Genomic DNA, 27206 nt, shown 5'->3' on the forward strand with positions numbered 1-27206 from the left:
ATAGCATTATATTTAGCAAACAAACGTCTTTTAGACATTTCAAATATTCAATACATATTTTTAATAATATTGGAAAACAGGAAATGATGAAAATGACACAATCAATGAATTGAAATCACAAATTTCAAAAAATGTGTAAGGAAAAAGCTATTTATTTTGGGTAGATTTTCTGTTTATGAGGTTTAGAAATTTAGTGTCTTATTTTCATGCAAAGTAGGATTTATATGAGAACAATGGTAGTGGGAGGTATAGCAAAAAAAAAATTAAGTCAAAAAGAAAAATTAAGTCATAGATCTTATACATCTAAGTATTCTTACCATAGGTCATTAATAAACCATATATTCATATATGTTCTTAGATAAATGAGGCTACACAATGAAAATTTTAACGAAGTCAACCAGACAACATAACAATAATATGAATGTTTTTAGTTTTGCTTTTCAGAGCCTGGTAACTCTAGTTTTATTCTGAAATGCTCAAAAAGTTAAACTAAATAAATTACTGTTATTAATATCTGAGGAACACTAATCACCTAAGAGAAAACAAAAAGAAAAATGATAGCTGGCAAATTTAAAAATTAATTTATATTTCTTTCTTAGATCCTCAATATAATTTTATTTTGTACATATATTTTTCCTCAATAATATAGTTTAATATAAAAATGAATCTGTTTTTACTCTGAGGTAGTAGACTATACTTTTCGAATAAATGTCTTCTGAAGTGTCAATGCTTTATATATTACACCTAGAGATTTTTATCTCTGCATTGGTATATATTTAAATTTTTTAAAAAGACTTAAAGGTATAGTAGATGAAGAAAATTATACTCTTTTCAAAAACAGTATTTGGGACATTAATCAACATCTTCAAAACATTACAAATGATATCTTTATGCTTCTCTGCATAAGTTATTTTAAAGTGCCATGTATAAGAAGAGAAAAAGTCAATGATGACTTTAGATTAATTTTTTTTTGCTTAAATATTTATTGTCAATTTCTACCTAAGTACTACTATTCCTAAGTGTAACCTTAAAGCATGTCAGTTGGTTATATTTAACCTTACATAGAAAAAACAAAAATGTAAACAAGTTGAGAAAATTAAGCTTATCAAACAATTCTTGTTTCCCCTCTTACGTACATGTTTTGTACCATGTTTTATGTGTTTTAAGAGAACATAAAAATGTAAACAACTTCTTATAATATTCCAAATTTAGAGCAAATATTTTAAGTCAGGTATGTGGTAGAGTGTTTTAATTTGCCACTTCCAAAAGAAGGTACATTTTTCATTTCTAATGTTATGTTCTCTTTCTCCAGAATGAGATCATGGAAGAAAATTTTATCAGGAAGGCTCTGTTAATACAATATGATTTCGGTTTAAAAAAACAAAACAAAAGCAACTATAGAAAGAAGAATTACAGTAAGGACTATAAGTGTACTTTAATACTGATTTCATTTCTTCCTTTTAGTAATCAAATTGCATATCTCCCAAGCATTGACTAAGCTTCCACTTCCTTTGTGTCATTTAACAAGCATTAACTGGAAGTTATTATTAATATATCATTTGGACAATGTAAGGAAAAATCAAACATTTTAGAATAGTGGAAAAGTAAGACAAAATAACCCGGATCCCTGAATGACCTCATGGAATAGAACTGACCACCTGGCTGAGACCCTCTGTGTAACTAAGATTAGCATGAGAGGAAAGTAAAATTCCATATTGCATCTATTGTTTGCAGCTCATTTGGGAATAATTGCTAATAAATATAAAAATATACTTATTAATGACTATGTAAAGAAGCTGCAACATATGGAAATATTTGCAGATTAAATGCTGTAATTAGAGTTGTTATTTTTTTTCTTATAATTATTTACATTCATATCTCAAATCAGTCTTTACTGGATTATTAGCTAGCTTTCTAGAGAACTGAAGATGTATGCATTCCTTAGTAATCTGCCATTATGAAGCCATGTTCTGCCAAGAAGGAGGATATATACATTCCTCACACTTACAGTCCATTAGGCTTCCTCCACTGGGAAAGAGGGAAGGCTGAAAGGAGGGCATTAATGCCCTTGGGAGAAAGGAGTCCTCATGGCCTAATTAACCTCTTGAAGTCCCACCATATAATGCTTTCACATTGGTAGCACCTATATTTCGAAGGTGACACATTAAAGCCATAGCACCTGAGTAGTAGTGAATAATTTTAACTATTGATTTTTTTGGTCTAGAAACTATGATTAGTGAAATTTAGAAAAAAAAACCCTATCAGAAATATCTTAATATACATTTTCTTAGGCTATTTTTAAATATAGTAGATCTTCATGATTCATGAATTCTGTATTTGTAAATTTACCTACTCACAAAAAGTTATTCATAACCCCAAAATCAAAATTTGAGTTTCTGGATGTGAACGTTTCTAGCTGAGGTAGAATAAGATCATGCTCTGAATTTTTTTTTTTTTTGAGGCGAAGTTTCAGTCTTGTCGCCCAGGCTGGAGTGCAAAGGCACAATCTCAGCTCACTGCAACCTCTGCCTCCTGGGTTCAAGTGACTGTCCTGACTCAGCCTGCCGAGTAGCTGAGAGTACAGGTGCCCACCACCACCACGCCCAGCTAATTTTTTGTATTTTTAGTAGAGATGGGGTTTCGCCATGTTGGCCATGCTGTTCTCAAACTCCTGGCCTCAGGTGATCTGCCCGCCTTGGCCTCCCAAAGTGCTGGGATGAAGAGCGTGAACCACCATGCCCGGCCCATGCTCTGAATTCTTATTTCAGATCCTATACTGTAAACAATTGTCCTTTTTTCATCTATCTAGTGTTATGCTTTTCACAATTATTGTATATTTTTTAAATGGCCCAATCATAGAGCTGAAGTGCTGCCCAGAAGTATAAGAGGCTGTGATGTGCTTTATGGACAAAATATGTGTATTAGATAAGATTTATTCAGGAATGAGCCATAGTGTTCAATATTAATGAATCAAATTTATATTAGATTAGATATGTTTAAAGAGAAACACACATAATACAATTTTAAGCATTGATCAGCTCACAAAATTTTGACTAGAGGTTTTCAGGAACCTAACACTGTATTTCCTTTAGGAGCAATAGTTCAGTATTCATTAAGGACCGGTGGTGACTTTATAGAACATAATTGCTGCTAATAATGAGAGTCAGCTGTATATATTTTAATAATTTCATAGAAATACAAGTGAATGTGATTCTATCTCACTGTAATTTTTTTCTAGAATCAGATATGATAGATAAAATATTGTTGCTTCCCTACTTTCCTTTCTTCTTTGTTTCTTTTATCCATAGGGTGTTGACAATTGTTTTTCCTTTCTGTGTCTACATATTCCCTACAAAGTTCATGTATAGAAGACATCTATGGACACGTTATTTTTAAACCTCACCCTTAATGATTACAAACCTTAATTTTCTCATAGAAGTATTTAATCTTTGCTTATCTCATCATTATTCAGCTTTAAGTTAGGTTTTAGTTGATTATGACATGAAAGAAAAATGGAATTTGCTTTCATCCATCCATTCAGTCCTTACTACTTTTGAGCTGAAGTAACTGTTCACATCTGTTGCACATTTTTAATGTGTGCTTGCTTATTATTTATTTGTAAGAGTTCTTTTTACATAAACTGGTATCAATCATTTATTAGGCATATATTTTTCTAACATTTTTCTCCTAGCCTGTAGATTATTTATATTTTCTTAATGTCTTCTGAATAACCAAAGTTTTAATTTTGATGAGGTCTCATTTATAAATTGTAAAAAGTGTTTGCATTTGTTGTTCTGTAAGAAATTTTCTCCTGGCTGAAGGTGGTTGGAATGATAGCCTTCTATTTTTTTCTTCTAGAAGTTTCATAAATGTAGATTTTACATTTAAATTTGTGACTTATTTATTTTTTAATATGTTGTGAGAAATGTGTGAAGGTTTGGGGTGTTTTGCATGAGAAAATCCAATTATTTTAGGCAAAATTTGTTGAAATGTCCATTATTTTCCACTAAATTGGCTTATTGATTTTGTCAACATTCAAATAGCCTTATATGTATGAGTCTATTTTTAGAGTTTCAATGATCTATATATCTTTCCTTTTGACCATGCAATGCTGTTGAATGATGCTAATAGCAAATTTTGAAATCTGGTACTATAGTCATGGCAGTTTTCATTTTTAATATTAATTTTGCTTTGACTTTCCTATAAGCTTGTCAATTAAATTACTTCAGTTTGATATGCCTTCATTGTATTATATATTTTAATTTCTCTGCCAGTTCTACTTAGCTAGAGTTTGTGTTTTCTGATACAGTGAGATAATTTGAATATTAATGATCATTAAAAATATTTTCAAAAATTAGTTTTAATTTCAAACAAAGATAAAGAACTATGTGACAAGATTTATTTTAGGTTGTATGTGTATTATATTAAATATTTTTAAAAAGTTATCCAGGCAGAGATAGCCTCATAAAGACAATAATGAAATATTTTCATGTTTCTTGAAATTCTTCTCAATCTAATGATTTTTAAAGTATGTTTGCATGATCTTCAAATGATATTTGTTTATATCGTCTTTACTAAAGACAGAACTCTATAACAAATGCTCTAGAACATGTTGAAAACACATAGTTCTTTGCATATAAGGCTTTGAATAAAAGCTTTTGTCTTTAAACAATTATATTATTTTAATCATTACCTTATTTCTTAATTATCATGGCTTACCAAAAAAGTCATCGTGATCACATAATCTATAAATATATTACTGGTTAACCATCTCTACTCTAAAAATCTGAAATCTGAAATACTTCAAAATCCAAAACGTTTTGAACATTCACAAGACACCACAAGTAGAAAATTCCGTACCTGACATCATGTTATGAGTTGTGGTTTAAACACAGTTAAAATTTGGTTTCATGCACAAAATTATCAATAATAATGCAAAGATTTCCCTTCAAGTATGTCAATAAGGTATATATGGACATAAATAAATTTTGTGTTTAGACTTGGGTCCTATCCCCAAGAGAGCTGATTATATATATGCAAATATTTTTTAAAAATCAGGAATCTAGGTCTGGGTCCAGTGGCTTGTGCCTGTAAGCTCAGAGCTTTGGGAGGCTCAGGCAGGAGGATCACTTGAAGTTGAGGGTTCAAGACCAGCATGGGCAATGTATTGAGACTGTCTCTAAAAAATAAATATAAACAATAAAAAAATCCAGAATCCAAAACACTTCTGGTCACAGCATTTTGAACAAGAGATATTCAACGTGTTTGTATCTATATGTATATCTGTTTGTATGTGCGCGTGCGTGTGTGTATGACATAAAGAATGACCTTAACTTGAGTATCACCAATGTCTATGCTTGTAGTCTTTCTTCCCTTTAAAGCACATGATGAAAAAATATAATTGTGTGCATATAATTATAATGCCATAGCTTCAATGGGAACTAAGAACATAAGATGAAAATTAGATTTAAGATCTGGAAGAAATAAAAATTAATAGTTTTAGTTTATTATGAGTGTCAATATTTGAAATTGTAATTAAGTATTTTCCCAACTATTCTTCAGTTGATTAAGATTTTATACAAGTGAAACAGAACATAAGGCATAAACATGACTTGAAGTTAGTTGTTTGAAATTAACTCCAAAGGGAATATAGATTTAAGAACAAAACTTTACATTTGGCAAGATCAGAAGAGAGAGGATCAGTAGGAGTTGTATGTCAGATTGGTCACTTGAGATTTGAGTATACCATTAGCAAAACTGCTGAAAGCTCACCTTGCTGAAAAAATAAATTATTTTCAGAACTACCAGCCTTGTTAAAAGCAACATTTGGAACTGACTAATCCCTGGGGTAGGAGTGCTGCTTTATAGTTTAGAAGATGCTTTTCCATCAAAGAATAATTATACCAATTTGCTCAACTTCTCCTTTAATAAGAAAAGAAGGAAATAAAATAAATAAGAAAAAAATTTAAAAATCTTGAAGAAAGATCGAATTAAGTGCTTGAATTTGAAATCAAGTGCCATTTTATCTGTGATACATGACTGCTATTTTGCATAAATTGTGACACTTAAACATTTGTTCTTGTATTAAAAATACTTTGAATTTCATGATACTTCTCCTCACAATTGTACTAACACAATCATCAGTTCTAAACATGACAGAATATTGCTCATGTGGCCAAAAGAAAATGTATATTAATTGTAACGATTTTCAACATTTCTGTATCTTTTTTGGTCCAAATTTATTTTTAGAACTTTAAGTCCCATGTGCAACATTATGGGTATTACTACTTCCTATCTTAACTGAAAGTTCCCATTCAGTTGCCTGAGCTTCTCATGTCTCACCAGGATCAAATATACCTAAGGAGGAACCTCTCAATTCAGATGCCACATCTTATATGTGGGGAGATGAGTACAACCAGGCGATGATATTAATATTTGTTATGAATATTACTGATTATAAAAATACTCACTAATTGATTTTATTTTTTGTTGTTTTAGACAATGTACAAGCACCTTCTCTGTTAAAAGAGTATTAGATTAAAAGTGAAACCTACAGCCCAGGCCCATAAGGCCCATTTCATTCTTCTCTATGAGTTTAATAATTTTCCATTCCTTCAAGATGGAGTAAAGTACAACAGACTCATATTTCCTCCTATGGTTATACACTGCAGCATTTTCACTTAACATTTTGCCACATCATTTGTAATAAAATTTTATTTTTGTTCAACAGTAAAAATGTCACCATGTTTTTTTTTTTTCTTAAATATAAAGAGTCATGTTTTAAGTGAGATATGCTGGTAACTAATTCCTCACTAAAAGCTTTGTCATAATTTGATCTTTTCATTTCTTAGATATTCCTCATTGTCTAGGTTACTTCTGAATACATGCACACACACTTGTGTGTGTGTATGCACAAGTGAATGAATGTATATATGTACATATATATCTCAAGATAATTTCTACTTCATAGTCATCCTTCCCAATTGGATATAATAGGATAAGTTAGTTAAGGTCATTTACCAATCATTTATAAGATTAGAAATAATTTCAAACTTAGAAATCCCATCTGGCATAACACCATTTGATCAGACATAAACCAACTACTTCCCTTATTCCATTCCATACATCCCGGTCAACCGTGAACCATCAATAACTTCTTTTTGAGTACCACATTTTGATGACTTTTACATCAAGCCAACAATAGCATGACCTAAACCATATTTTGCTGGCTTGTAGATGAGTATGCCATGTGGGACAGAGTTAAAAGACTTCCTGGGGTCAAGCTCGATTACACTTACTGTAGATTGAAAGAATCAAGGCCATTATTCTGTCATAGTAGAAAATACATTTGGTTTGACAATGATTTGTTTTCAAGTCATGCTATTTATAACTGAGCACTTTGTGATCTTCAGAGGGTTTGAAAATTGGCCCTTGAATGATAACCTACAGAACCTTTCCCCATTAACGTTACAGTAGCTAGTCTATAGTATACAACACTATTTTTTTCCTTTGAAAGGTAGTTTATTTTTGTTGTTAAAACTTGTGAAGATGGTAGTCAAAATGTGAATTTACATTGGTGACTAAGTGTACAAGTATGTTTTTTATAATAAAATGAGTACATATCAATTTCTAATATGGTAAGATAAATAAATATTTTTACTTATATTAGTTCTTACATTTTAATAAAGTAAAATAAAGTCATTTTTTCTACTTTTAAAATTGTCCACAAAACTATTAATTAAACAGTTTGTGTGATATAATTTGTCAGCTTTCAAGGTGATGCAAGTATTAAATCATATACTTCTGTAAACTATGAGCTGATTATTTTATAATCGCCAGCAGAACACGAGATCCTAATTTTTAAATCTGTCCTTGCAGTTTGAAGGTTACCTACAAACTTGATTAGAACTGTCAGGCCTCATGGCATCTATTATATATTGTTCCTGTTAAGGTTGCTTATGAAACTATTAGCCTTTTCCTTTGACATTTGCGGTTCTGCATGAATAAGTATGTTTATAATACAGTAAACATGTATTGCTCTTAAGGTAGTTTAAGTAGAGCTCAGTTTAAATAAATTGCTAACAAGTTGTCTATATTGAATTGTTTTTTATTATAATTATAATTCATTGTTCCATTAATAGTCTTATTCTCTTGTCTTATTATTAATTTACAGTAACTAATGTAGACATTTGAAAATTTATATGTAACCGTTAGAATAATAATAATTAATTCAAAAGTGTTAAATGGCCATTATAGGGCATAAGTACAATGGATATATTTAAAATATATTTCAAAATGAAATAAGTTTTACCCCTGTCGGAAGGTTGATTTAAGATTCCAAAATCATCACTTTTAAACCATTTCAATAAGCCATACTTTATGCCTTAAATAAGAACTAATCTATTTTTCTTTCATATTCCAATAGCAATATGTACTGATGTAGCACATATCAAATGTCTGTTATATACATAATTAGGTAGAAATTTGCTTGATTGACTGTGAAGGCAGAATATTAGTTAAATGTTTATCTTCTCAGTTCCTAGCACAGTGTTTTTATTTATATTAGTTCTTAAATTTTAATTAAAGTGAATTAGAAGTAATTTTTTCTTCTTTTAAACTTTTTGGCAAAACTATAAGACACATTAAAAATATAATTTAGTTAATTATTGGAAATAATTTTTAAAACTGCAGTAAATTATATATTTAAGATACATATTTATGCTTCCATGAGTGTAGAATCTAAAATCAAGAATTAAAGGAATACATTGATTGAGGCTTATTTTTAGATCAGAAATTTTCTTTAGTGAAATATATGTAGTCGTCCCTTGGTATTGGCAGGGGATTGGTTCTAGGAAACCCTCAGATATCAAAATACATGTATGCTCAGGTTCTTGTGGAACCCACTAATGGGAAAAATTGGTTCTCTTTATACACCTGTTTCGCATTCCACAAATACTATATTTTCACTTGTGTACACCTATAAATGGAACTGTGCAGTTCAAATCTATGTTTTTTAAAAGTCAATTGAATCAACTGTAATAAAAGAACAATATGTGGCTAATTTCATACAAAAGAGACTCAAAAATTAGTAGGCCGTGTCCATGTAAATACGGACTGATTCTCTTTAAATTGTTTTAATCCCCTCTGAATGCTAAACAAGATATAGATTTTGAAAAATAAACGCAGACCACATATTTTTAAGATCATTAAAATAAAAGTATAAAAGGAAAGAGTTAAAATGGGAGGATCGGACCTTCCAGGATATGATTACCAATGTAAATTAGATATATTCAAGTGATTTTTTTTCCAAGTCCCCAGTGCTACTTGTTTTCTTTGTTTCCTACCACTGAGATGAGCATTGTACTGAGATGGAAAGAAAATAAATTTGAATGGTAATTTTCAGATGAAAACATTCAATCCCGTAATGGATCATTAGCTTTATTTCAGTTACAGAATGCCAATATTGTTCTCTCTTACAAGGAACCCAGAATTCTGAGCTTGTTATGTATGTTTCTAAAGACAATTGATAAATTACTATGCTTTTTTAATTTTTGGTAGCTGACCAAACAATATGTGTGTAGTAGCCATTCTTTCTAAGATATGGGGATTTAGTGTGCACTATTTGATAATTTTGTACTCAGCCCATGTTAGCAAAATGACTAAAAGGTGCTACTCAAATATAAAGTTCTGTTTGTTTTATTGCAGGGAGTTTAATATCATTTATTGGTGTCATATTTCAGTAATATTTGGTGCTAATAATTAAAGGTTTAGTTATATAAAGTTAGGACAATGGCAGAAAAGTATAAATTAACATATAACAGGGGTACAAAACCTATGGTAGGAGCAGAAGGTAGAGCAAAACCCCCTGGAATTGGCATCAATTCAGTTTAGAGGGAAGAAAACTTCCCAAAGAGTCACTTTCACCCTCTAGTAACTCTGTATAATTAGAAACAAGAGTTAAAATATCGATGGTTCAGGAAGAAACATTTCATTCAATGATCAGGCCAATAGATGAGTTCCAATAAATGGTAGTGAAAATGAGGTATTTTGCAAGTTGGGACAAAGAACAAAAGAAAAATAGTTTAGAAACTGAGCTCAGAGCAATATTTGGAGTTTGTGGTCAGTCAACTTTATCCTTGAATACTTGCTGTGCTCCCATGATTGGTAGCTTCAAAAGAGCCAAAATAGATCTTCCTTTTATGATAAAAGGAATTTATCATAATTCCTAACCAATAGACCTCATCTGAATTGAGATAAGAACATATGTAAAAAGAGAAACTAAAATTTTCAGTAAAACAGGTAGAGAAAAATATATTCCAGGACAAATAGGGAGTCTGTAACTCTTTGACACTTTATTTTGACTCCTTTTACATAGTTTGTATATTGTTTTTCAAATTGAAAAAATACATACATTTATTTTAGTACACGCTAAGGCATTGGATAAATCTGCTCTTTTCTAAGACTTACCGAACCAGCTCATCACTTTACCCTCAATTGGTGTTTTTTTTTGCATAGTGACAGCACAAATGAACAGTTGTAAAATTAAGCATCCTTCCTGGTGAAGGTCAGGAGGAGGCCCTAGTGATTTGGACAAATTCTCTACTGGCTGCCCTATTCCGATGTCATCCTTTCCTTCTGAAAACAATGATGTAAGATTTCCTTACTGTTCAATAAAACTACTATGGAGTAGATTGCTATTTAAAAAGAACAAAGTATTTTTTACTCATTTCTTTGTGTTGACACGTTATCAGTGACATCCACAAGCAGAAGGTGATGTCATATTATTTAAATTCCTATACTATGTGGTGTAGTTATTAAGGGAAAAGGAATTATTGCCTACGTTGCCCAAAGCTCATTAGCTACCTGATGTTCAGCGTATGTAAGTCTCAAAGGATAGCTTAGGAAATCTCAAAGCCTGAGATCATTTCAGCGTGGCAGATTCTTCAGGTTGAATGTGTCTATTTTTAAATTAAAAAAAAAAAGATAAAAATAAAGCTGAAGACGTGAGTGTAAAATTTTATTTTGTTTAAAATGTGTATTTATTACCAGTTGAAATCTGAATAATTAATATGTAAATCTAGAGATGTCAACTTGTAAAACTAATTCACCATCTACTAGGAAGGCCAAGCAGCTTGGCATTACCTAGGCTATCTTACAATGGCCCAGTATTTTTTTCAGGTTTTATTATAAAATCAGGGGTCACATGTGGAGGCTTGTTACAAAAGTATATTGCATGATGCTGTGGTTTGGGAACCTGTCACACAGACAGTGAGCACAGGATCCAATAAGTAGGTTTTTTTAGCTCTTGCCCTCCTCTCTCCCTTCCCCTTCTAGTAGTCCCCAGTATCTGTTGTACCCATCTTTATGTGCAAAAGTACCCAATATTTAGCTACCCTTATAACTGAAAACCTGCACTATTTGATGTTCTGTTCTGCATTAATTTGCTTAGGATAGTAACCTCCAGCTGTATCTATGTTGATGCAGTGGATGTGATTTTGATCTTCTTCTTTTTTTTTTTTTTTTTTTTTTTTTTGAGACGGAGTCTCCCTCTGTCTCCCAGGCTGGAGTGCAATGGCGTGATCTCGGTTCACTGCAACCTCTGCCTCCTGAGTTCAAGCCTCCCAAGTAGCTGGGACTACAGGCTTGCACCACTGTGCCCAGCCTGGGACTACAGGTGCCCGCAACCACATGTGGCTGATTTTTGTATTTTTAGTAGAGATGGGTTTTCAGCATTTTGGCCAGACTGGTCTTGAACCCCTGACCTAAGGTGATCCACCTGCCTCGGCCTCCCAAAGTGCTGGGATTACAGGCATGAGCCACTGCACCTGGCCGATTTTGATCTTCTTAATAACTTCATAGTATTCCGCAGTATACATGTAACAAATATTCTTTATCCAATTCACCTTTGATGGGCACCTGGATTAATTCAATATTTTGCTATTGTGAATAGTGTTGCTATGAACATATGGTTGCATGTGTCCTTTTGGTAAAATGATTTATTTTTCTTCCCCTGTAAGGGGATTGTTGGGTCAAATGGTAGCTCACCTCTCAGTTATTTTAAAAATCTTCAAACTCTGCCCCACAGTGGCTGGATTAATTTACGTTTCCACCAACAGTGTGTAAGAGCCCTCTTTTCTCCTTTAATGAAAGCCATTATGACTGGTATAAGATCCTATCTCATTGTGGTTTTTATTTGCATTTCTCTGAAGCTTAGGGATGATAAGTATTTTTTTCATGTTCACGGGCTGCTTGTAAGTCTTCTTTTGAGAAGTGCCAGTTCATGTCCTTTGCCCACTTTTTAATGGGGTTATTTGCTTTTTGCTTGTTGATTAAAATGCCTTATAGATTTTGGATATTAGACCTTTGTTGGATGCATCATTTGTGAATATTTCCTCCCATTCTGCAGATTGTCTGTTTACTCCATTGATAGTATCTATTACTGTACAGAAGCTTTTAGTTAAGTCGGTCCCACTTGTCAATATTTGTTTTTGTTTCAGTTGCTTTTGAGGATGTAGCCATAAATTCTTTCAAGGTCAAAATTGATAAGGGTATTTCATAGGTTTTATTTGTAGGATTTTTACAGTTTGAGGTCTTAAATTTAAATCTTTAATCCTACTTGAGTTAATTTTTTTGTATATGGTGAAAGGTAGGGGTCCAGTTTTATTCTTCTCCATATGTATAGCCAGTTACCCTAGCACTATTTATTGAATAGGGAGTCTTCCCCATTGCTTATTTTTGTTGAACTTGTCAAATATGGGATAGTTGTAGGTGTGTGGCTTTATTTCTGGGTTCTCTAGCCTGTTCAATTGGTCTGTGTATCTGTTTTTATACTAGTATCATGATGTTTTGGTTCCTGTAGCCTTGTAGTATAGCTTGAAGTTGGGTAATGTGATGCCTCTGGCTTTGTTCTTTTTGCTTAGGATTGCTTTGGCTATTCGGGATTTTTTTTTTTTTTTTTGGTTCCATATGCATTTTAGAAGAGTCTTTTTCCTAAATCTGTGAAGAATGTCATTGATAGTTTGATAGGAATAGCATTGAATCTGTAAATTGCTTTGGCAGTATGATTTTTCCATTTATTTTTGTCATCTCTGATTTGTTTCAGCAGTGTTTTTGTAGGTTTTGTTTTGTTTTGTTTTGTTTTTATCGAGATCTTTCTACAAGAAAGAAGATGTTTTCCTAGGTGTTTTATTTTTTGGTCGCTATTGTAAATGAGATTGTGTTCTTGATTTGGTTCTTGGCTAAAACAGTATTGGTGTCTAGAAATGCTACTGATTGTTGTACATTAATTTTGTATACTGAAACTCTACTGAAGTTTATCAGTTCCAGGAGCCTTTCGGCAGAGTCTTAAGAGTTTTCTATGTATAGAATCATATCATCAGCAAAGAGATATACTTTGAGGAATTCCTTTCCTATTTGGAAGCTTTTTATTTTTTTCTCTTGCTTGATTGCTCTGGCTAGGACTTCCTACTGCTAGGTTAAATAAGAGTGGTGACAGTGGACATCCTTATCCTCTTCCAGTTCTCAAGGAAAATGCTTCTAACTTTTGCCGGTTTAATATGATGTTGGCTCTGGGTTTGTCACAGATGGCTCCTATTATTTTGAGGAATATTCCTTTGATGGCTAGCTTGTTGAGGGATTTTATTGTGAAAGAATATTGAATTTTATCAAAAGCTATTTTAGTATCTTCAGATTATCATGTAATTTTTGTTTTTAATTCTGTGTGGTGAATCAAATTTATTGTTTTGTTGAATCAAACTTAAATCTCAGGAATGAAGCCTACTCGACTGTGGTGAATTAACTTTTTGATGTGCTGCTGGATTCAATTTGCTAGTATTATGTTGAGGATTTTTGCATCTATGTTCATCAGCGTAATTGGTCTATGATTTTGTTGTTACTGTTGTTGTTGTATCTTTGTCAGGTTTTGATATCAGGGTGATGCTGGCTTCATAGAATGAAATAGAGGAGAAACGCTCTTCCTCAATTTTTTGGAATAGTTTCAGTAGGATTTGTAACAATGCTTTATTTTCTGTTCTGATATCATTTAGTTATGAATCTACCTGGGCCAGGGCTTTTTTTTGGTTGGTAGGTTTTTTTTATTATTGATTAAGTTTCGGAACTCATGACTGGTCTGTTCAGGTTTTCGTTTTTTTTTTCCTATTTCAGTCTTAGAAGGTTGTGTGTTTCCAGGAATTTACCCATTTCCTGTAGGTATTCTGGTTTGTGTGTATAGTGGTATTCATAATAGTCTCTGAGGATCTTTTGTATTTCTGTGGGATCACTTGTAATGTCTATCTTTGTCATTTCTGATTGTGCTTACTTGTAAATTCTCTCTTTTTATTTTTTTGTTCTTTGTTAATCTAGTAAGCAGTTTATCATTTTTTTAATTCTTTCCAAAAGTTAACTTTTGGTTTCATTGATTTTCTGCATGGATTGTTATGTCTCAATTTTGTTCAGTTCTTCTCTGATTTTAGTTATTTCTTTTCTTCCACTAGCTTTGAAATTGATTTGTTCTCTTTTTCATTACTTCCTGTAAGTGTGATGTTAGACTGTTCATTTGAGATTTTTCTAACTTCTTGATGTAGGCATTTTGCATATAAGCTTTTCTCTTTACATTGGTTTAGCTGCATCTCAAACATTTTGGTATGTTGTGTCTGTATTTTCACTAATTTCAAGGAATATTTTGATTTCAGCCTTAACTTCACTGTTCACCCAAGAGTCATTCAGGGGCCAAATATTTAATTTTCATGTAATTGTTTGGATTTGTGAGATGGTTTTGGTATTAATTTCTATTTTTATTGCACCTTAATCCACTAGTGTCTTTAGTATGATTTCTGTTTTTTCGAATTAATTGAGACTTGCTTTATGGCAGAGCATGTGGTTAGTCATACAGCACAATCTGTGTATAGATGAGAAGAATGTATATTCTGTGGTTGTTGAGTGGAGTATTCTGTAGGTGTCTATTGGATCTATTTGGTCAAGTGTTGAGTTTAGGTCCAGAATTTCTTTGTGAGATTTCTGTCTCAAAGACCTGTTTAATGATTTCAGTAATGTGTTGAAGTCTCCCACTATTATTGTGTAGCTATCTAAGTCTTCTTGTAGCTCAAAAATAACTTGTTTTATAAATCTGGGTGCTCCAGTGTTTAGTACATATATATTTATGATAGCTAAGTCTTCTTGTTGAATTGAACTCTGTATTATTATGTAATGTAATGCTAATTCCTTGTCCTCAATTGTTATTGGTTTGAAGTCTGTTTTATCTGATGTAAGAGTAGTTACCCTTGCTGTTTTTGGTCTTCAGTTTGTATGATTGATTTCTTTCCATTCCTTTAATTTGAGTCTGTGGGTGCCATTACATATGAGATAGGTCTCTTTAAAGCAGTACACAGTTGGGTCCTGTCTCTTTATACAATTTGCTACTTTATGCCTTTAAGCAGAACATTTAGATTGTTTACATTCAAAGTTAGTATTGATATATGAGATTCTGACTTGTTATCATGTTGTTAGCTGGTTGTTTGTAGATCTGATGACTTGATTGAGTATTTACTTTGAGTGTCTGTGTGCTGAGTGCTTAACTGTGTTTTGGTGGCAGTTGATATTGTGCTTTCATTTTCATGTTTACCACTCCCTTAAGTACGTCTTGTGAGGTTAGTCTAGTGGTAACAAATTCCCTTAGCATTTGTTTGTGAGAAAAGGATCCTATGTCTCCTTTGCTTATGAAGTTTAGTTTGGCAGGATATGAAATTCTTGGTTGTGATTTCTTTTCTTTAATGATGCTGAAAGTAGGGCCCCAGTCTCTTCCAACTTCTCAGGTTTTTGCTTAGAAGTTCACTGCTAAGTTGATGGGGTTCACTTTATAAAAGGGGCCCGACCCTTCTGTCAAGCTGCTTTTAAGATTTTTTCTTTCTTGTTGACCTTGGTGAACCTGATGATTCCATGCCTTGGGAATGTTCATCTTTTACAGTATCCTGCAGGGGTTCTCTGTATTCCTAAAATTTGCATGTCAATCTCCCTAGCAAGACTGGGGAGATTTTCAAGGACTCTATCTGCAAACATATTTTACAACTTGCTTGTTCTCTTTCTCTCTCATGAATGCCATTGAGTCATAGGTTTGGTCTCTTTAAATAATTCCATATTTCTTAGAGGTTTTGCTCATTTTTAAAAATTATTCATTTATTTATTTTTTGTCTCACTTGCTTTGGAGACCTGGTCATTAAGCTTGGAGATTCTTTCCTCAACTTGGTTTACTCTGCTATTCATGCTCCCAACAGTATTAAGGAATTCTTGCAGTTAACTTTTAAATTCTGATACTCAGTTTAGTTCTTTCTTAAAAAAGGCTATTTCATCTTTCAATTCCTGTAGTGTTTTATTGGATTCTTTTCCTGGAGCATTTTATTGAATTCCTTGGATTGGGTTTCAACTTTCTTCTGAATCTTGGTGAGCTTCCTCGCTATCCAGATCCTGAATTCTATGTTTATCATTTCAGTCATTTTAATATGGTTAAGAACCACTGCTGGAGGGCTGTTTCACTCTTTTGGAGGTAAGGGAATACTCTCGCTTTTTGAATTTTCAGAGTTCTTTCACTGATTCTTTCTCATCAAGAGGGCTAGTGTTCCTCTTTTTGATTAGCTGTCATTTGGATGGGGCTTTTGGTTTTATATTATTTATTTCTCTTGAGGGTTTAACTGTAATATAGGTTGAGTGTACTCAGCTGGCTTCATTTCTGGGTGCTTTCAGAGGGCCAAGGCTCTGTATGGAACGTGTATTTGTTGTGAGATTGTAGCCCTAGATTTCACAGGCAATGTATATTTTGGGAATAGTCTTTGGGTTGTGAGATTTAGGCTGCCATCCAGTAGGTGGCACTGAAGAGTAATGGCCAGCAGATAGGCTTACTTAGCCACGTGTCTTTTCTGTATTTCAGTGCGTTTGCAGCACTCTCTGTGGCTGGCCGGGGGTGGTGGGTTGTGGAGAGACATGACCCCCTCTCCTCTCCAGGTCCACTCCTGGGCCTTAAGGAAGCCTCTTGTGATTACTGGTGCTTTACATGTGTTTCTTTTGTTAGATGTTCTGGGCTACGGGGCTCCCTTGGGCAAAACCTGCAGTTGGCAGAAAAGCTAGCTACATCCTTCCCAGACCAGCCCTGTGAGGGGAGGCATGTTCTGCTACTCTGCCAGCCCACAAACCACACATCTTTCATCCCTTTTCAGTGTTCTGAGACTGAGGTCTCCCCTGTCCGCTCAAGCACCAGCCACAGATCGCAGCTTGACACTCCCAAGCTGTGTGCTGCAATCTTGAGGCACTGGGACTGAGCCCATGGCTCTGTATTCTGCCACCCTGAAGTTGGGCACTGGTTGTGCTGGGGGATCCAAAGTGCTTCCAGGCCTCTGGGAAAACACTCAGGTGGGGCCACTGGTAAAACTTCCAGGCTGGGCAGCAGAGGCTGTGCTGTGCACATGCTCCTGCAGGAGCAGCCAGGCAGGGGCCTCTGGAAGGGCTGGCAGGTAGGGAGGCTATTGTAAGTAATCTAGAGTTGATTTAAAGTATATGGGAAGATATGCATAGCTTATAGGCAGATATTACACCATTTCATATAAAGGACTTCAAAATAAGCAGATTTGGGTATTTGTGGGATGTCTTGGAACTAATCCAATGATGCTGAGGAGTGAATGTAACTATAAATGAGAAGTTCTGTAAGGATACGACTGGGGTCCAATGAACATCAGGAATAGAAACAATCTTCTTTGACCATGTGTTTAAATATTTTCTCTATGAAGCAAGGATATTTAAGCTGAAACTGAAGGTCCAGGATAAAGCCAGTTTCCCAGTAGTGAAAAGAAGAGTGGGGTCCTAGGAAAATAAGCATGTATTAAGCACCTGAGTTAGTCAGGGGCTTGGAGTTTTTGAAAATGTGAATAAATGTTCAATCTGCCTACATTGGGTTTAAGAAGGACAAGGAAAAAGACATAAGAGAAAGGGAGAGAGGAGAGTGAGTTTTAATCAGGAAAGTCTCTTGATCTGATTTATATTATAAAAATATGACTGTGGCTGCAGTATAGAAATTGGATAAGGGGGAGGCAAGACTGGGAGTGACAATACTCATTAGATTATCTGCAAAGGGCATATATAAAACCTCCTACATAGCTATCAAAAAATGGTAGCTTAAAAAGTATTATATGTGTAATTAGAAATTCAGCATCACTATAACTTAGCTAATAGGCTTATAGGTCTTTGACCAAAAGGTCATATTATCTATTATCTTGTCACCTGCTACTAGAATCTTGAGCCCCTATAGAAAACTTCATAAAACTCTGATATTGGCTGTATTAAAATTTACTGTAATTCACATTTAGTTTTTTTCAATTTCCTGTCCCAATTTATTTATTCATGCCTAGAAAATTCCTTATCTCATTCTTCATAGGCATTCTTTTTACAGTTAGTTTGATTGAATCTTTCTACGATGTATTTGTAGATCTAAACAACACATTGTACCTCATAAAGATATACAAATATTTGTCAATTGCAAATAAATTAATATAAATAAATTATACCCCATAAAGATATACAAATATTTGTCAATTGCAAATAAATTAATATAAATAAATAAATTGGTACTATGTTTTAAAATAAACTTATTCTTTCTTCTTTCTTTCATAGATTATTTTCTTATTTCTTCCTAAGTATAAAGTATATCATTTTTTCTGGGAACTAGTATCTCTTCTTAATCTACAATTTTTTCTGTTAGGCTAAACCGTACAAAAGTGCCATTCTTGAAGGACAGGAAGAGTTGAATATCAATTTCATTTGGCTCAACTTAATATATTTAATGTAGTCTTTTTTTTTTTTTTTTTTGACAGAGCCTCGCTCTGGCGCCAGGCTGGAGTGCAGTGGAGCGATCTCAGCTCACTGCAACCTCCACCTCCCAGGTTCAAGCGATTCTCCTGCCTCAGCCTCCCGAATACTAGGCATGTGCCACCATGCCCAGCTAATTTTTGTATTTTCAGTAGAGATGGGGTTTCATCATGTTGGCCAGGATGGTCTCTTTCTCTTGACCTTGTGATCTACCTGCTTCGGCCTCCCAAAGTGCTGGGATTACAGGCATGAGCCACAACACCTGGCCTAGTCTTTTTTTTTAAAGACTTTTTTTTTTTTTTAAGAGCAGTTATAGGTTTGTTTATTGAATGACTATTTTTGTGTTTTAGCAGTAATTGTAGTGTTTCCTCTCCTTCTCTTTCTATTCTCTCTTTTTTTGGGGGTAATTTTAGCTCAAATAAAGAGGAGGATCTTCCTATATTAAATAATTTTTCCACTGAAACAAGACAACATGTCACTCATGGTGTATTATTCTGTTTAAGATAATGACTTTTATATTTCCCTTCTCCCTTTTGCTACTGAAGTTTTAGAAAATGTAGCCTATATTTTGCCCCAATTCCTCTATTTCTTGCAAACAAATTGTTTTTTGCCATTTTGCTTTCATAAATTTTATTAGTAATAGCCTATATTGCAAAATACAAACATATCACATTAGTTCTACTTTATTTTAATATTATGCTGAGACCTGTTTTTTTAGGGGATGGGAAAGGGAAGTTTCCAATGCAGACTGTCTGGGTTTGAATTCAAACAATAAAGTATTGTTATTAAAAGTTATTACAATTAAATAGATTGCAAGTTATTTAGGTTGTGGTATCCTCCTTTGCAAATTTGGGTTTATAACAGTAAACATTTCATTGAGTTTTGAAGATTAAATAATTTAATAAATTTAAATACTCCAGAGCAATGTTTGCTACTTCCTCAATTATACCAAGGTGTATTGTAATTTCTCAATAAGTGTTAAATATTTTCACTATTGATGACATATTTTTCCTTTTTGTGGCACTACTCCCTGTCAGCTCTCCATTTCAGAGGGGTTAATTTTCATAGGGACCATAGTATCCTTGTCATTTGCAAGTGATTTGCCAGTCTGGAAAATGTTTTCATGTTTTTTCCTGTATAATAAAGCTTTTTGAAAGTAGAATCTTCATCTGTATCTGTTGACCACTGTGTAAATTATATTCATTACTGTGCCTGACAAATGGTGAGTACCCAGTGAATATTATTAGATTCATAAATGAATGAATGAACACCTTTCAAAATTTATAGTCCAGAAACCTATGGTGGACTCTCAAATAAAAACTTAGAAATGGTTTAAGAGGATAACATGACCATTAATTTACATTAAAAGACATGTGAAACACAGATGGTAAGGATCTAATGTTTAACTACCTTCTTTCCTTTCCAGGTAATGGAAGTTCCCATGTTCAAAGTCTAAATTACCACATGGTTTTATTTCCTCTTCTTTTATTATTTTTAAACATTTGGTTGCATAAAAACTATTTAAAAACACTTTACAGTTAATTTAGCACATACGCCATGCTAATTGTATGATACTTGGGATTTAACAAATGTATAAAATACATTCCTATTTTCAGAATATCCTAGTTTTTGCTATTTATTATGGGAGGTACTTTTGTCAAATTAAAACAATTATAGTACCAACAGTAATAGTAACCAAACAAAATATTGTATTACCACTTGCTACTACCTACATATCAGGGGAGGTGATAATTAATGTCTGGTTTATTCACAGACTTACTCTCTCCCTCAGCTCATTTTGATCAGAGTAATGAATGAAGTAGAGACACAGGAAAGTGAGTAAGTCAAAACTAATTTACATAGGAAAGAAAGTTCAGGCACTGTATAAGAAAGGTATAATAGAAAATCCTGTATCCTGGAAGGTGCAGATTGGGGGCAATGAATAGAAGGTAGGTGGTTGGTGTAGAAAATGAAAAAAGGTAATGTAAATTTAGAGAGTTTGAGAAAGTTCTGAAATAGAGAACTGAGAGATTTAAGGCAGTCTCTGTAATACATAGGTATGAAATACACAGATGTAGGAGGAATGGTGGAAGAAGAGAGATATTGACAAAAATGGGCTTAAAAATATTTTGTTTATCATGTAAATGGCATCCCCTTTTTGTGTTTCTGAGAGTCTTTGCTAAAGCTAAATGGTTTTGCAATTACATTATTGAACTGGGATATTTATAAATTTAATTCTATGCCAAGGTCAACTTCAAAGCAAGAGCAACGTGGACTTTGCTTATGTGTTATGTACTATTTATGGAAATAATAGTTTAAGAAACAAATAGTACCTGGCTCAAGAGTTACAACATTTGGAGTAGGATATATACAGACAGACTTGACAAAATAAATGCAATAAAAAATAAAACTCTTTAGAAATATTGTTAATTTCCTGCAATTAAAGATGATATTTTTCTTCTCTTACATATAAATGAAGTGAAAGGTATCCAAGCTAAGTGACTACTTTAGCAATATTATATGAAAAGCATAAGGCAAAGGATCTGAAACTTGAGAAAACTTAAAAATAATAACTAGATAAATATAAATTATTATTATTGCTTCCATAGGGGTTTAGATTTAAGCAGCTGATTTTTAAATTAAATGATTTCTTATTCATTATAACATTTTCAATGATAAAATGGATTTGAATTTAGAATAGAATGGTAGTACTTTACAAATTATACTATTAATCATTGCATGCATTAGAGTAATATCATCTTCTAAATCTGTTAAAATAACTTTAAGTATCAAGAACATGATACACATTGTTCTCTTAGATCATTTTTTGTAGTCACCACCACCATTAATTTCCATCTCAAAATAATCAGGTGATGGTTTTCTCTCCTTTTCAATTTTTTGATGGGATCACACACTGTCATCTTCCTTCTCATTATAAAACTACAATGGCAATCTTGAAATTTCCACTGATAATTGCTAGTATATGGATAACTATCACTTTAAGTTTGCATAGAAACCATACTTTTCAAGCCTGTATCACAAAGTAACTCTAAATTCTGTACCCTCTGATTGACAGTGGGTCTGTGTCTTTCACAGAGTTTTAGTACAAGAGGCAAAGCAAAAGAAAAAATCATTAGCAGTTGTTCACAGGCATACTCTGTGTTTGAATTTGGTAGTGAGCAAGAAGATAAGCTTATCTTATGGAGTATTTTTCTTAATGGTCCCCTAATGTCACTGGAAATAGCAAAGCAGCAGAGTGGGAAAAAAAAATGTGCCTTCAAAACGAACTTAAGAGAGTCTGACTTTATCAGAGAAACTTCCTTTCTATCATTCAGCTATATTTTTCACTTTGAAATTGTTTTTCTTTTGCCTTTCCATGTACAAATTATTAGTATATGTGAGCAGTAAGGAAAGTATAGACTCAACCAAACACCAAAACTTTCATTGAAAGCCAACATAAATAAGAGTTGAATATAACTTTCTGTCACAATCTCATTCTTTTTTTTGTTAAAGTTGTTCTGAGCTGTAGCCAAACCGGGCTAAATTGACCTTAATTATCTGCTCTCTATGACTGCCAACTTCCTACCTTTTAACCTCCTACCTCCTATCTTGAATCAAAATTCTATGGCTGCTAGAAAGCCCAGCTCAATTCTGTCACCTTTTTCATAAAGATTTTTCTCCATAGGTGAAATGCCATGGTACTTCAACTTTACAATTTACAAACTATAGTGATTATACTGCTCCCTAGGGACAAAAGTGAGACAAGGGAATAATGTAAAAGGATGACACGTATTTTATATGCAAAAAAATTGTTTGGGTCTATTAAATAATATGGCACTAATGGGGAGTTTCTGGATCATTATGCGAACCAGATTTTTTAAAATATTAAAGTATGGCCAGGCATGGTGGCTCACGTCTGTGGTCCCAGCACTTTAGGAGGCCGAGGCAGGCAGATTGTCTGGGGTCAGTAGTTCAAGACCAGTCTGGCTGGCACAGTGAAACCCGGTCTCTACTAAAAATACAAAAAAAAAAAAAAATTGGCTGGGTGTAGTGGCATACACCTGTGGTCCTGGCTACTTAGGAGGCTGAGGAAGGGGAATTGCTTGAATCAAGGAAGTGGAGGTTGCAGTGAGCTGAGATCACACCACTGCACTCCGGCCGAGGTGACATAGTAAGACTCCATCTCAAAAAAAAAATTAAAGTATTTGACATGTCTGTTAGAGATCTAAAGCGGGTTTTTTGTTTGTTTGTTTGTTTGTTTTGAGGCAGGATCTCACTCTGTTGCCCAGGCTGGAGTGCAGTGGTGTCATCAATGGTCACTGCAACCTCCATGTCTTGTGCTCAAGCAATCCTCCTGCCTCAGCCTCCCAAACAGCTAGGACCACAGGTGCACAGCACCACATCAACTCATTTTTGTATTTTCTTTTTTTTTTGGTATGGGGTTTCGTCATGTTGCCCAGGCTGGTCTTGAACTCCTGGGGTCAAGCAGTCTACTTGTCTCACCCTCCCAAGGTGTTGGAATTACAGGTGTAAACCACCGCACCCAACTGAAGAAAGGGCATTAATATTTAATAATGCTTTCAATAAAGAAAAATTAGATTACTTTCTGAGTCATTTGGCACACCTACCTATCAGCTTTTTCCCGACTTTTCTTCCTTACTTCAACATTGTTGTTATTCAGTCAGTCAATAAATGTTTATTAATTGCCTGCTCTTTGTTACACACTGTGTGAGAAAAAGGACAGAGAAGTTTATGCCACAGAAAAGAGATATTAAAGAATACACACAAAAATTAAGTACACGATGGCTGTCAGAAACCATGAAGGGTCTGAGATTTTACTGTACTTTTGACCTAGTAATTTCCCCTGTCAGAGTTTCCTGAATCCTGGTAGAAGGTGTGAGACTTCTGGGTAAAGGAAAAATTACTATTATTTACAGCACAGCAGGCAACATGAGCATCCTGTTCACAGCAGTTCTCCCTACTCAATCACACCCACATCTCATAGGGTTTATGCAAATATGGTCCCAATTAGATGCTACACAAACAGTGGGTTTGCTGTATACCTGAGGAACCTGGAGATTATGAAGTCCAGGACATTTTTATTTATTTATCTTTATTCAAATCATAAACACATTTTTTTAAAAAACAGCTCTATTTAAAATATAATTTATGTTTCAAACAATTGATCTATTTAAAGTGAACAGTTAGTTTTTTTTATATGTTACAGCTTTATGTAATCACCATCACAATCAATTTTAGAACATTTTTATCACCCTCTACATAAACCTTATACCCTTCAGTAAGTACTCCCCATTAACCAACTCTCTTCCCACAACCCTAGGCAACCACCAATCTACTTTTTGTCTCTACAGATTTTACAGTATTTGGCATTTCATGTAAGTAAAAATCATAAAATACACGTCTTTTTATGACTAGCTTGTTTCTCTTAACATAATGTTTTCTAGGTTCATTATGTTGAAGAGGCCACAATTTTATATAAGGGGTATCTGGCAACCTGTCCCACCTTAGCAAGGAGAGGGATATTATCTAAATTACATTGGTAAGAAAAACTGTCTGCCCTCTCTTTCAGTGGAAGAGCCTATTCATCTTCCAAGGCTGTTTGCTTTGCACACATCCTGAAAAGATAGTCTACGATAAAGTTGTTATGAAGATGTATAGAAACTCTGGAGAATTGCTCCTCAATCATCATCCCTAAACAAAATGCTGAGAAAGAAAATGGCAAGCTGCTGTGGAAATACATAAGAAGGAAACAAACCATCTGAGCATCCTTGGAGGCTTCCTCAGGAAGATACTTTTTAAACTGGGACCTCAGAAAAAGATGATTGAATTAAGAAGTAAAAACACAAGAGAAAAAGATAATTTTAGGCAGTAGCCTCAAACGTTTTTATTTCTTTATCTTTACTCAGGTCATAAACAATCTTTAAAAAATAATAGCTTTGTTTATGTAAAGAGCATGCATAAAGGTGAAGAGGCAGAAGATGACAAGATGCATGTGGCTGGAAAATAAAGCAGGAATGACAGAATGTCATGAAGTGAGACTAGTGTGGCAGGGAGATGATAGATTATGCAAGACTTTGTAGGTAATAAGGGCTTCCAAATTCATTCCAAAATAGTGAAACACAATTGAAGGAATTTAAGCAAGAGAGTAAAATTGTCAGTTTTCTTTTGTAAGGAACTTCTCTGCTGTGTGGAGCCTGGTTGGAGGGGGGCAAAAATGGATTCAGGTAATCAGTTTAAAAAGTGTATACAATAAATCAGATGAAACATGTAAGTAATTTGAAAGAGGGATGATCAGAGGAATATCTAGACTAATTGGGGTAGGTGGTGGAAAGGGAAGTGTTGAAGGAGGTGATATCATGAACAACTGAATGAATCATGATACCATCTACTGATCTATAAATATTGGCAAGTCTGAAGAAAGGATAATTAGTTAATCTTTAGGCAAATTACATTTGAAGTTATCTGTAGCTGTGTTAGTCCGGGTTCTCCAGAAAAACAGAATCAAGTGAAGTATATACAAAAATCAAGAGATTTATTATGAGGAATTGGCTTACACAATTATGGAGGCTGCTAAGTCCTAAGATCTATAATCAGCAAGCTGGAGATCCAGGACTGCTGATTGTGTAATTTCAAACCCAGGGCTGGCAGGCTTGAGACTGGGGAAGAATCAGTGTTTCAGTTTGAGTCTCAAGGCAAGAAAAGTCAGGGTCTCAGTTCAGACAGGAGGAATGTTCTCTTATTCAGGGCAGGGTCAGTCTTACTTCATACCGGCCTTCAGCTGACGGGATAAGGCCCATTCCCATAGGGAGGGTAATCTGCTTTACATTGTCTATCAGTGTAAATGTTAAAGTCTCACAGAAACATTTAAAATAAGGTTTGCAGAAATATCCCAGTACCTAACTGCTCAGTCAAATTGACACATGAAATTAACCATCACAGTAGCTAAATGAATGAAACAGTTGGATACACAGTTTTCCATAAGAAAATTTTAAAAGAAAACTGAAAAGAGAAAAAGAGAATTTTAGGCCAGAGAATTTTGGAAGTTTTTTTTGTTTGTTTGTTTTTTGTTTTTCTCAGTCTTGTTCCTCCCTATAATCTAAGTTGTTTTATGTCTTTCCCACTGCAAAATCTTCCTCATCCATACATATACAAAAGTGATCTACTTTGTCCAACTAGTTATGCATTTTGGCTGGGATGGAAAATACGAGAATGGAAATAAAAGAATACATCAAGAAGGTTGTGAAGCATATGGGTAGGATTACTGAAAGAAGTGCAAGGTATGTACAAAATACAAGGGAGAGAGGATAGGGATTGGTACAAATGAAAAGAGATGTGGCTGGGCACAGGGGCCCATGCCTGTCATCCCATCACTTTGGGAGGTCGAGGAGGGCGGATCACAAGGTCAGGAGTTCGAGACCAGTCTGGTCAACATAGTGAAACCCCGTCTCTACTAAAAATACAAAAAAATTAGCAAAGTGTGGTGGTGTGCACCTGTAATCCCAGCTACTCTGGTGGCTGAGGCAGGAAAATTGGGTGAACCCAGGAGGCAGAGGTTGCAGTGAGCCGAGATTGCACCATTGCTCATTGCATTCCAGCCCGGGCGACAGTGCGAGACTCCATCTCAAAAAACAAACAAAAAAAAGATGCATTTTATAAAATTGTGAAGAAAATGATGTAGAAAGAGCTACAATGTACAAAACTTTTTAACAGAAAGATATGTCATATATATGCAAAATGAAAGGGAATTCAGTTTTGTTTGAAACTATATTAAATTGCTTGCATTGTCTTATTATCCCAGGCTGAACATTTTAGTCACAGTGTTTTTTCCTTGAATATTTTATCTACATATCAAAATGTAATTATAGAACTAGATTATATCACATATGAAAAATACTATGTAGAGTAAAAATAGAAGGAAGTCTAAGTCTAAACACAGAAGAATAAAAAAGAAATAAATATTTGACAGAGGAGGAAAAAACAGTGAAATATGAGAACGTGTAGAGAGAAGGAAACAAGAAACTCAGAGGACTGTGGATAGGAGGCAATTCAAAAAAGTGTTTCAAAGTTCCATCATCGAGTCTCAACTTATTAACAAAACTTTTTTTGAACGCTCTCTTCCTTGTCCTTTTGTCTGCTCAATGTTTGTCTTAACTTTTCAGAAATCAGGTTTATTCTTACTTTCTCAGCATACACATTCAAAAGCCTTTGCTACCTTTTTTTCTACAATATCACACTTTTACAGTCACTTTCTATTTAGCCATAATTTAAACTTTTTAAGAAGGTGAATGTTTATTCTAAAAATATTACTATGTTCCTTGGTGTCCACCTAAAGCTCTAAG

General features: G+C 33.9%; 5 annotated features.

Annotated features, from left to right (window-relative positions):
- Positions 15636-15695: an enhancer, noted in NCBI's record as "active region_7806". NCBI's record gives its function as "activates an Ori minimal core promoter by ATAC-STARR-seq in GM12878 lymphoblastoid cells {active_cell/tissue: GM12878}" and the evidence as "EXISTENCE:reporter gene assay evidence [ECO:0000049][PMID:35858748]".
- Positions 17039-17178: an enhancer, noted in NCBI's record as "active region_7807". NCBI's record gives its function as "activates an Ori minimal core promoter by ATAC-STARR-seq in GM12878 lymphoblastoid cells {active_cell/tissue: GM12878}" and the evidence as "EXISTENCE:reporter gene assay evidence [ECO:0000049][PMID:35858748]".
- Positions 17279-17348: an enhancer, noted in NCBI's record as "active region_7808". NCBI's record gives its function as "activates an Ori minimal core promoter by ATAC-STARR-seq in GM12878 lymphoblastoid cells {active_cell/tissue: GM12878}" and the evidence as "EXISTENCE:reporter gene assay evidence [ECO:0000049][PMID:35858748]".
- Positions 17279-17820: a biological region, named in NCBI's record as "H3K27ac-H3K4me1 hESC enhancer GRCh37_chr13:63086916-63087455".
- Positions 17281-17820: an enhancer, noted in NCBI's record as "H3K27ac-H3K4me1 hESC enhancer chr13:63086916-63087455 (GRCh37/hg19 assembly coordinates)". NCBI's record gives its function as "activates a minimal SCP1, AML or CMV promoter by ChIP-STARR-seq in naive H9 embryonic stem cells {active_cell/tissue: H9 hESC(naive)}" and the evidence as "EXISTENCE:reporter gene assay evidence [ECO:0000049][PMID:30033119]".

The sequence above is a fragment of the Homo sapiens genome, chromosome 13 (genome assembly GCF_000001405.40).
Source record: "Homo sapiens chromosome 13, GRCh38.p14 Primary Assembly".
In the NCBI taxonomy this organism is placed as follows: Eukaryota; Metazoa; Chordata; class Mammalia; order Primates; family Hominidae; genus Homo; species Homo sapiens.